The sequence below is a fragment of the Homo sapiens genome, chromosome 17, assembly GCF_000001405.40.
Source record: "Homo sapiens chromosome 17, GRCh38.p14 Primary Assembly".
NCBI lineage: Eukaryota > Metazoa > Chordata > Mammalia > Primates > Hominidae > Homo > Homo sapiens.
The window spans coordinates 60,196,772-60,209,044 of record NC_000017.11 but is presented as its reverse complement, the minus strand read 5'-3'; the positions used below and the strand labels follow the sequence as shown (position 1 = coordinate 60,209,044).

At 38.8% G+C, this 12,273-nt stretch overlaps 1 protein-coding gene across 13 annotated transcripts in view; it reads left to right on the top strand.

The window, feature by feature from the left end:
- Positions 1 to 12,273, top strand: part of USP32 (ubiquitin specific peptidase 32) — a 245,090-nt gene that overhangs the window by 213,372 nt on the left and 19,445 nt on the right. For all 13 annotated transcript variants that reach the window (XM_011525372.2, XM_011525371.2, XM_011525376.2 and 10 more), the window contains 5 exons: positions 217 to 391; positions 835 to 986; positions 1,913 to 2,024; positions 3,387 to 3,598; positions 10,601 to 10,785. In XM_011525372.2, the coding sequence (XP_011523674.1) occupies positions 217 to 391; positions 835 to 986; positions 1,913 to 2,024; positions 3,387 to 3,598; positions 10,601 to 10,785 (836 nt within the window). The remainder of the gene's footprint in view (positions 1 to 216; positions 392 to 834; positions 987 to 1,912; positions 2,025 to 3,386; positions 3,599 to 10,600; positions 10,786 to 12,273) is intronic.

Here is a 12,273-nt window from a genome sequence, read left to right as displayed (position 1 = left end):
ATGGACAAATAACTTTAATATTTACCATTGTTACCTTGATAAGAACAAATGAAAAATAGGATTTTCCATCTCAATTTAATATTTTATGTTAAATGAAGAGTAAGGATTATATTCTTTACATTTAAATCCAATATATTTAACTAGCTTCTTTGAATTTATATAGAAATGCTTCTCTTTTGGATTTTGAGAGAAAATTCTCATCTTTTTTATTGCTAGGCCTGGGACAACCATCTAAGAAGAAATAGATCAATTGTTGTGGATTTGTTCCATGGGCAGCTAAGATCTCAAGTAAAATGCAAGACATGTGGGCATATAAGTGTCCGATTTGACCCTTTCAATTTTTTGTCTTTGCCACTACCAATGGACAGTTATATGCACTTAGAAATAACAGGTAGGTCAGAAAGTTCTGAAAAATTACTTGACTCCATTAAATTTACTTTATTTAAATAGCCTGAATTTGTAAGCATAGTTATTTGTTTACAAATAAAGACCGGTAGTCAGCATATTATAATTGAGCAACCTAATTTTAGGCATGACTTGAGGTTTGAAAGATGTAGACTGGGGCATGTTTTTTTGGTTTCAAATATGCCAGCAACTCTCTTTAAAACCCTGCAAAGCCACTGATACTTTTATGTCAGATGAACACCAAAAAAATACTGATTTCACTTAATATTATCCCTAAGTACCATCTGTTTTAGTGTTTACACATAAAATAAAAATTCTAGGCTGAAATATTTGCTATTATATTTACAGGTCAGATATATCTGTACACAGCATTTAAGACTTTCAATGAAACCTGCATTTTACCAATAAAAGATCTTTTCTCTTTACTAGTGATTAAGTTAGATGGTACTACCCCTGTACGGTATGGACTAAGACTGAATATGGATGAAAAGTACACAGGTTTAAAAAAACAGCTGAGTGATCTCTGTGGACTTAATTCAGAACAAATCCTTCTAGCAGAAGTACATGGTTCCAACATAAAGGTAATATTAACTACTCTAAGAAACTTTTGATTCTATCCTCCAAAGATGACATTTTTCTCAATTATTATGATCAATTGTTAGGTTATGTGACCAAGAGAGATACTAAAACATAACGAAAACTGAACAACAACAACAAAAAATGCCAAGTTTTCCAACCCAGAAACTTAAGAGTTTTCTACCAGAATAAAGGGATAATACTGATGGTGGTATTTTTGAAGAAGGGAAATACGTAAGGCTGCCTATATGGAGTGTTCTAGCTGTGTCACTATAGTATAGGTTTCCACCAAAGACTGCTGCTGTTACCAAAGACTGCTGCTATTACCCTTGACAACTCTTCTGTATTACCGCTGTTACTAGAATTCTTCCTAGGTTAAAGTATTTTATGTATTTATGAATGTGTGTTTTTAGTATTTATGAATATATATACTTGGTCTTTTAACACACTAAGAAATTAAGAGTAAAGACAAATTGACACCAATCATGTCTTTCTACATACCAGCTGGGGAAACAAATAATCTAATAAATATATTGCCTACTCTAAATTAAGCTCCTGCAACTGGTATTATTTATATTCATCTTTGGGATTTCTGAACACACTCTCACCTCACTGACAGTTTCTTAATATGAAATGCAAAAATGGAGTCTCTGAGGGTTGGAATTTAGATCCCTGAAACGGACAAAACTGAAGTCAGTCGTATATAACACACTTCTTCCTGTGAAAAGAGATAATAGTTCGAAAATTGAGGTTAGTTTTCCGTTATTTTTATCAAGCATTCATCCTTTATGTAGTTGAAAAATTATTCAATCATCTCGTTGGTTTTACGGATGAAAGCGCCTAAGACATTCTTTTGAAATATGTTAGAGAGAGAACTTTTCCATTTTATCTGAAACATCTCCCCCTTCTCATCTTGCTTCTGTTTCTGTAGAACTTTCCTCAGGACAACCAAAAAGTACGACTCTCAGTGAGTGGATTTTTGTGTGCATTTGAAATTCCTGTCCCTGTGTCTCCAATTTCAGCTTCTAGTCCAACACAGACAGGTAAGATAGAACTAGAACTCCTTCTCATGATTGCTCCTTTAAATATTTGTCTAAGAGTTGTCATCTTTTTTATATTTGTTCATGCTGAGGATATTATAGCAGAAGAATTTTGGAACCCAAGGGAAACCTTACTGATTATTCCATATTTTTTCGACGAGAAACCTAAAATTTAGAGAACCCAAGTGACTTCAGTTAGATAGGTAGTCGTTAGCTAATATACCCTTGGAATTCAGATCTCTTTGAACTTGTATCTAATATAACATGGCAACAGCTAGTATGAGAGGAACATACTACCAGAAAATATAAACAATAGATATAGCTAGAAAGAAATCCAATATTATATGTAATTTAATGTGGTCACTCACTGAGTCCTTTTAGCCACTAGTATGCTTTGTCTATTCTTTATATTACTTACAATTAGGTTAATTAGGCTAATTCCCCAACTATAAAGGGCTTTATGAGGCTCCCCTCATTGATGTGTAGTAGGTAGATAGTCCTGACGGTGAGTTGGTGGATGTTCTAATTTTAGTTTTAGTTTAGAGCATCACTGTCCAATAGAATTCTGCAGTGGTGGAAACTTCTGTGATCTTTGCCATCCAATACAGTATCCACCAGTCACGTGGACTGTTAAGCGCTTGAGATGTGGTTAGTGTGAGTGAGAATAATGCATTTTTAATTTTTATTTAATTTAATTTATTTATTTTGAGAAATGGTCTCACTCTGTCACCCAGCCTGGAGTGCAGTGGCATCATCTTGGCTCACTGCAGACTCTGCCTTATGGGCTGAAGCAATCCTCCCACCTCAGCTTCCCAAGTAGCTGGGACTACAAACGTGTACCACCATGCCCAGCTATGGTGTATCTTTTGTAGAGATGGGTTTTCACCATGTTGCCTAGGCTGGTCACTAGCTCCTGGGTTCAAGGGATCTGCTACCTCAGCCTCCCAAAGTGCTAGGATTACAAATGTGAGCTGCCTCATCCAGCCTAATTTAAATTTTAAATGCAACATCTGGGTAGAGGTTACTGTATTGGACAGTGTCTTCAAAGGCAAAGAGAAGGAAAAGAAAACAAGTGGTAGAACTGTTTGTGTGCTACAACATGGTGCTGATACAGGTTTCTGCAAAAATTCTGCTTAATAGTTTCCAGCAGTTACTCTTTCCTTTTCATTTGGCCAAAAGTGTGAGTTAGGGAAGTAAAACTGGAAAATTAAAATCTTCCAATAAATCTAGAATTATTTATACTGTGATTTCTCCCTGCCCTGTGTTAAGAGACTACACTGTCTCTGGTCCTCAGGATACTTGAGAAAAGAGCAAAGATGAAAATACCACAAGCTTATGATACTGTACTTATCTTTGAATTTGTAGATTTCTCCTCTTCGCCATCTACAAATGAAATGTTCACCCTAACTACCAATGGGGACCTACCCCGACCAATATTCATCCCCAATGGAATGCCAAACACTGTTGTGCCATGTGGAACTGAGAAGAACTTCACAAATGGAATGGTTAATGGTCACATGCCATCTCTTCCTGACAGCCCCTTTACAGGTTACATCATTGCAGTCCACCGAAAAATGGTTAGTTAAATGTTAGGCAACTCACTGCCAGTCTTGCTAGTGTCATTTGTGAAATAGTCATTTTCTGTCTTTGCAACATCATTGAATGTATTTTCTTCTCTTCTTTTCTTTAATTTTTTAAAATTTAATAATTTTACAAATTTTATTTTTTTACTTTTTTATCCTGTCCTCAAAATCTGTTGCTGTGAATGCATTTTCAATGTATTATATATGCTAATATAAGTGATCAGAGCCAGGATTTAGTATTACTCATGGTGGCTAATGTATGAAATGACATTCCTTATCCGTATATTAAGAGGCAACAGGATAGTCAGTGCATCTGAGTACTACTTTCTTTAGAAATTTGTGTCTCCTGGCCGGGTGCAGTGGCTCACACCTGTAATCCCAACACTTTGGGAGGCTGAAGCAGGAGGATCACCTTAGCTCAGGAGTTCAAGGCTAGCCTGGGCAACATAGTGAGACCTCGTCTCTTCTAAAAAAAAAAAAAAAAGACTTCTTTTTTTTAACTAAGCAGCCATGATGGTGTGTGCCTATAGTCTCAACTACTCTGGAGGCTGAGGCAGGAGGATCACTTGAGACTAGGAGGTCAAAGCTGCAGTGAGCCATGCTTGCTTGCCCCACACATTCCAGGCTGGGCAAGACCCTGTCTGAAAAAGAAAAGAAAGAAAGAAAGAAAATGGCCAGGTGCGGTGGCTCACATCTATACTCCCAGCACTTTGGGAGGCTGAAGCAGGGGGATCACCTGAAGTCAGGAGTTTGAGAACAGCCTGGCCAATGTGGTGAAACCCCATCTCTACTAAAAATAAAAAAATTAGCTGGGCATGGTGGCATGCGCCTGTAGCTTCAGCTACTCGAGATGCTGAGGCAGGAGAATTGCTTGAACCCAGGAGGCAGAGGTTGCAGTGAGCGAAGATTGCGCCACAGCACTCCAGCCTGGGTGATAAAGTGAGACTTTGTCTCAAAAAAAAAAAAAAAAAAAAGTATCTCCTAAGCCAGGCATGTTTAGGAGGATCCCTTTAGGACAGGATTTTGAAGCTATAATATGCTATGATGCTCACACCTGTAAATAACCACTCCACTCCAACCTGGGCAATAAGTGAGACCTTGTCTCTAAAAAAATTAGAAAAAAACAAAAACCAACACACACAAAATTTATGTTTCCTGTGTGTTTGTGTAGGTATGTATATCTTCACTGCCACGTAAATGCGGATGGCTTCGGAAAAGTTTTTTGTTTTGGGGTTGGTTTTTTTGTTTTGTTTTGTTTTTTTTCTTAGAGGATACAAGAATGTTCTTGAGGAAAATCAAGTTGTGCGTAATTCCTCTCTTGACAGTCTAATATATAACTATTGCATTAAAGGTTGACTCTTTGGTAAAAAAGAAAAAGGAAGGTTTGAAAACTGGTCAGTGGATAATTGTTAAAGAGGTAGTCTTCGGGTATAGTGGCAACTTGGTAGAGTAGAAAGGGCACTGAACTAGGAATTTAGCAACCTATGTTTTAGTTCTAATTCTGCCACTAGATAGCTGATTGAGCTCTTTGGACTTTAGTGTCTTAATTTTATAAAGTAAAGGAAAGGCCGGGCACAGTGGCTCATGCCTGTAATCCCAGCACTTTGGGAGGCCGAAGCGGGTGGATCGTGAGGTCAGGAGTTCGAGACCAGCCTGGCCAAGATGGTGAAACCCCGTCTCTATTAAAAATACAACAATCAGCCAGGCATGGTGGCACACGCCGGTAGTCCTAGCTACTCAGGAGGCTGAGGCAGGAGAATCGCTTGAACCTGGGAGGCGGAGGTTGCAGTGAGCCGAGATCGTGCCATTGCACTCCAGCCTGGGCGACAAGAGCAAAACTCCGTCTTAAATAAATAAATAAATAAAATAAAGGAAAGCAAGGCTTCTAGATCAAGTAAATTGATTGTATAGCAGCAACAAGAGAAAACGAAATTGTAAAAAAGGTACTGTATTGGTTTCTTAGGACTGTTATAACAAATTACCACAAATTTGGTGGCTTTAAACAACAGAAATATATTCTTTTTTTTTTTTTTTTTTTTTTTTTGACAGTCTCGCTCTGTCGCCCAGGCTGGAGTGCAGTGGCGTGATCTCCACTCACTGCAGCCTCCGCCTCCTGGGTTCAAGCAATTCTCCTGCCTCAGCCTCCCAAGTAGCTGATACTACAGGTGCACGCCACCATGCCTGGCTAATTTTTGTATTTTTAGTAGAGATGGGGTTTCACCATGTTGGCCAGGATGGTCTTGATCTGACCTCGTGATCTGCCTGCCTCGGCCTCCCAAAGTGCTGGGTTTACAGGTATGAGCCACTGCACCCGGCCCAGAAATTTATTCTTTCACCTTCTGGAGGCCAGAAGTCTGAAACTAAGGTTTCTGTAGGGTGGGGGCTTCCTCCAAAGGTTCTAGGAGAGAATGCTTTCTTGTCTCTTCTAACCTCTGGTGGCTCCAGGCATTCTTTGGCTTGTGACTGCATAACTGCAATCCCTGCCTCTTCATATAGCCTTCTCCTTCTCTCTGTCTTTCTCTGATAAGGATACTTATTGAATTTAGGGCCCACCCAGACAATCCAGGATGATCTCATCTTGACATCCTCAACTTAATTACATCTACAAACATCCTTTTACCAAATTAGGTCACATTTACTGGTTCCAGGGGTTAGAACATGGATATATGGATATACTGTTTTAGAGGCCACCATTCAACTCAACTACAGATATTATTTATCTTAGTATCAAAAAAATTAAATGCTGAGAAAAAATTAAGTACCTAGGAATAAACTTTAAAAATGACACATAAGACATCTATATAGAAAATAAAATATTGATAGAAATTAAAGAAGACTGAAATATTGGAAGGAGTAAACCATGTTCATGGATTAGAAGACTCAATATTTTAAGATATCAGTTCTCTACAAACTAATCTACGGATGACTTAATGCACAATCCCAATACAAATGCAAAGTCTGCGTGTGTGTGTGTGTGTGTGTGTGTGTGTGTGTGTGATTTGATAAGCTGATTCTCATATGTGGAAATACAAAGCACCAGGAATAACCAAGATACTCTTGAAGAAGAGTAAGATATGAGGATATCATCAAGATTGGATATCATCCAGATATCAAGATTTATTTCACAAAGATATGATATTTAAAATAATGTCATATTGGTACAAGAAAAGACAAGTAGACCATTGGGATAGAATAGAGAGCCCAGAAACCAGTTCACAAATGTATGAACACCTGATTTATAACAAAGATAACATTGCAGAGTGGTGAGAGAAAGATAGTTTTCTCAGCAAGTGGTGCTGGGACAATTAGATATCCATATGAAACTTGGCACCTACCTTTCACCACAATTCCAGGTGTTCTATAGAGCTAAATTTGAAAGCAAAACAATGAAACAGCCCTTGGAAGATAATACTGGTAAATACATTCCTGACGCTACTCATATAAAAGAAAAGATTAAATTGGACTTCATTAAAATTGATAACTTGGCTGGGTGCGGTGGCTCACGCCTATAATCCCAGCACTTTGAGAGGCCGAGACGGATGGATCACAAGGTCAGGAGTTCAAGACCAGCCTGGCCAATATGGTGAAACTCCATCTCTACTAAAAATACAAAAATTAACTGGGCGTGATGGTGGGCACATGTAGTCCCAGCTACTCGGGAGGCTGAGGCAGGAGAATCACTTGAACCCCAGAGGCAGAGGTTGCAATGGGCCGAGATCATGCCATTGCATTCCAGCCTGGGCAACAGAGCGAGACTCCGTCTCAAAAAAAAAAAAAAAATGATCAACGACACTAGTAATCAGTGAAATGTAAATTAAAACAATATTATGATATCAGTGCACTCACCTGAACAGGTAAAATTAAACAGACTGACAGGGTTGCTAAGTAGAGCAACAGGAACTCTCATACCATGCTGATGAGAATATAAATTAACTTTATATTTAATTATAAATAATTTTAATTATAAATTAAATACTATAAACAACTACTTTGGAATACAATTTTCTAGTTAAAGATAAGCAGTTCTACCTGTAGGTATCCACCCAAGAGATATGTGTACCAGGAGATATGTACAAGAATATTCGTAGCACCATTATCTATAGTAGCCCCAAAATGAAAACATTGCATGTCCATTAGTTGTAGAAGGGATTGGGAAGCTGAGATATATTAAGATAATGGAACATTATACAGGAATGAAAATGAATGGATTTGTAGTTATATAGAGTATAAATGAATCTCGTAAACCTAATGTTGATGGAAAGAAGCCAAACACAAAAGAATTAGGCTAGGCACGGTGGCTCACACCTGTAATCTCAGCATTTTGGGAGGCTGAGGTGGGCCGATTGCTTGAGCCCAGGAGTTTAAGACCAGCCTGGGCAACATGGTGAAACCCCATCTCTACAGAAAATACAGAAATTAGCCAGCGTGTGCCACACACCTGTAGTCCCAGCTACTTGGGAGGCTGAGGCAAGAGAATCTCTCAAGCCCAGAAGGTGGAGGTTGCAGTGAGCTGAGATCACACCACTACGCTCCAGCCTGGATGACAGAGCTAGACCCTGTTTCAAAAAACAAAAAACAAACAAACAAAAATGAATTAAGTAATTCTATTTATAAATATAAAAACTTTTAAAACAGGGAAAATGAAATCTAGTGTTTATTTACTTGTGCATAGGATATAAAACTGTAAAGAAAAGCAAGAAAGTGATTACTGTAACATTTAGAATAATAGTTACCTTTGTGAGGAAGGGAGAATTTGTGATTTGGAGGAAGCAAATGGGAGGCTTTTGAGTGTTCGCTATATTCTGTTTCTTAAACTCAGTGATAATGGAAAGCTAGTTGCTTTGTGATAATTATTTGAAATGTACTTTTTTTTTTTTTTTGCAATGGAGTTTCACTCTTGTTGCCCAGGCTGGAGTGCAGTGGCAGGCCCTCAACTCACTGCAACCTCCGCCTCCTGTGTTCAAGTGATTCTCCTGCCTCAGCCTCCTGAGTAGCTGGGATTACAGGCATGCGGCACCACGCCTGGCTAATTTTGTATTTTTAGTAGAGACAGAGTTTCTCTATGTTGGTCAGGCTGTCTCGAACTCCCGACCTCAGGTGATCCACCCACCTTGGCCTCCCAAAGTGCTGGAATTACAGGTGTGAGCCACCACATCCAGCCAGAAATGTACCCTTTTACCTCTGATTTTTATTTTTCTCTGCATTAGTAGCCCTTGGCTTAAAATTTCTTTCTTTTTTTTTTGGTTGAGACAGAGTCTTGCTGTTGTCGGCCAGGCTGGAGTGCAATGGCACGATCTCGGCTCACTGTACTCTATGCCTCCTGCGTTCAAGTGATTCTCCTGCCTCAGCCTCCCGAGTAGCTGGGACTACAGGTGCCTGCCACCATGCCCAGATAATTTTTGTGTTTTTAGTAGAGACAGGGTTTCACCATATTGGCCAGGCTGGTCTCGAACTCCTGACCTCATGATCCGCCCGCCTCGGCCTCCTGAAGTGCTGGGATTACAGGCATGAGCCACTGCACCTGGCCCTGGCTTGAAGTTTCTAACCATGTTAATAACTAGGAGTAGAATTTATCTCAGTAGTAACTGAGAAAGTATGGGCCCTAGGGCACTAGGAGAAGTTCCTTAATGAGAGGATGAAAATTGTGTGGGTTTAGCTACGTTTTAAAATTTTATAAAATATTTGTACTGAACTCTGTCTGGATTTCTCTGGATCTTATAATAATAGTAACATATGAAATAGAGGCTTAAAATTATGTATTTAAGCTTAAATGAAAATGGCAAAATAAAATGCTTAATAATCTGAATAAAGGGTCTTTTTACTTAGAAACTAGCTAACTTAACCCCTAGTGAGTTGATAAGTTGTTGATTTAGCTTTTCTAACTACTCAATAAATACCAAACTTCTTAGGGAATTAAATGTTCAAAGGTTCAGCAGCTTTAGATAACCTTGAACTCCCACCAACCATTCCATTATACTAAATGTTTATTTAACAGCCATTTCCAGGATAATTCTGTGCAGTATCTCTATATTAAGGAATATCGTAAATATCTCTTTAACGTACTCAAAGCAAATTTTAAAAATTTTACCTTACTTTTATCCTATCCTGTATTTAAAAAACAAAAAAAAAGATTAAAATCACTTAACTGCTTTTAGGAAGGTGGATAAGCTTGTTATAAAATAGAATTACTAGGTTTCACAAATCTCCAAAACTTTGGAAATTGCCACTCCAACAACCACTATCAACAGCTTATCCCTAGAAAACTATAGTTGAGAGAGTCTTTTTTTTTTTTTTCCACTGGCATCTTTTCATTTCTTTTTTTTTTTGAGACAGGTCTCACTCTACCTTCCAGGCTGGAGTGCAGTGGCACGATCACAGCTCACTGTACCCTCAACTTGCCAGACTCAGGCAATCCTCCCACCTCAGCCTCCTGTATAGCTGGGACTACAGACACATGCCACCATGCCCAGCTAATTGTATTTATTTCTTTATAGAGATAGGGTCTCCCTACATTGCCCATTCTGATCTCAAACTCCTGGGCTCAAGGGATCCTCTTGCCTCAGCCTTCCAAAGTGCTGGGATTACAGGCGTGAGCCACCACACCCAGCTTACTGGCATATTTTCTGGAGAAAGAAAGAGCCTTAATTGTTTAAAAGCCCTTAGCTATGAAGCTATTACTAGTTTTTACATGTGAGTCAGTGTATGTGAGAAATGTTTATCAGAGAAAACTGGTTTGAATATATTAATTGCTGAAACCCAAATTTGATAGAATAGGCAACAACTCTAAAACTGGCAATACCTCAGCCCCTTTAATGACTCCACTGTAACCGTTCTCTTTGTGTCAATAAAGATGGTTTTATAAATACAGAGAAGAATGTGATAGTGACTGATTTGAAATGGTGATAGTGCCTGTCATTGGCAGGCATTTAGAAGAACTAAAGGGAGGAATCAGAGGCCTGTCTTCTGAACTCTCTATTCTCTTGTTTGTACATACAGATGAGGACAGAACTGTATTTCCTGTCATCTCAGAAGAATCGCCCCAGCCTCTTTGGAATGCCATTGATTGTTCCATGTACTGTGCATACCCGGAAGAAAGACCTATATGATGCGGTTTGGATTCAAGTATCCCGGTTAGCGAGCCCACTCCCACCTCAGGAAGCTAGTAATCATGCCCAGGATTGGTGAGTTCAGGGGATCCATCTAAACCTGTGGTTTCCAAACTCTAGAAAAATAATCTATATGAATTCTACATGACTGATAGGACCCAGCCTATGTCAAGTTAATCACTCTTGGAAGAACCACTCAGACAGCATACAATTCAACCATTTGGTTTGATATTTGGAGTAGGAGAGATGATACAGCTTCCTTTTGCCAAACATTCTAGTGTCAAATAATCCTTCCATTCTCTAATCTTTTACCTGGATTCATCCTGCTAATGCTTCAAGTAATATCCTGTCTTCTGTGTTGCAAAAGTAGAGAGTATGAATTCACCAGGAAATTTGTATAATCTCAGTCCTCTGAAATTCAGAATGAGAGTGACTGCATACGTGAACTCTGAAAAGTCTCATGATACAAAAAATAATTCTGTTGGATTATTTCCATACCATGTCATTCTTTTTTCTTTTTCCCTTACCATGTCATTTTAACGTGAAGTAATTTCATAAATCTAGATAAAAATAATTAACATTTTCTGTTTTCTTTCCCTTTTTCCTATCACTGTTCTATTTGATTAGTAAATGCATTTACTCTGAATAATTTTTGGGATTTTGATGATGTCTTATTTTTATCTCAATCAAATTGTAGATCATTTTTCTTTTCTTTTCTTTTTTTCCCTTTACAGCAGAGTTTTGCTCTTGTTGCCCGGATTGGAGTGCAATGGCACGATCCTGGCTTACTGCAGCCTCCACCTCCTGGGTTCAAAAAAATCTCCTGCCTCAGCCTCCCCAGTAGCTGGGATTACAGGCATGCACCACCATGCCTGGCTAATTTTGCTTTTTTGGTAGAGATGGGGTTTCTTCATGTTGGTCAGGCTGTTCTCAAACTTCCAACCTCAGGTGATCCACCTGCCTCAGCCTCCCAAAGTGCTGGGATTACAGGCGTGAGCCACCACACCCGGCCTGTAGATCATTTTCTTGCCATCATGGTACAAATGAGAGTTCTGTTTTATGGTAACTAAAAAAAGTTCTTTACTTATTTGTTATGATATGGGGTATTTTGATGATTAGGGTAGGGCTTAGGATAAATACATCTTTTTTTTTTTTGAGACAGATTCTTAATTTGTCACCCAGGCTGGAGTACAGTGGTGTGATTTTTGTTCACTGCAAACTCCACCTCCAGGTTCAAGTGATTCTCATGCCTCAGACACCTGAGTAGCTGGGATTACAGATGCTCGTAACCACACCCAGCTAATTTTTGTATTTTTAGTAGAGACAGGGTTTCACCATGTTGGCCAGGCTGGTCTCGAACTCCTGGCCTCAAGTAATCCACCTACCTCGGCCTCTCAAAGTACTGGTATTACAGGTGTGAGCCACCACACCTGGCCAGATTTAAATTTAAAGATTTAAATAAATCTTTACTTAAATAAGTTATTTATTTATTTTTATTTTGTATTTTTTTGACACAGAGTCTCGCTCTGTCACCCAGGCTGGAGTGCAGTGGTGCAATCTCGG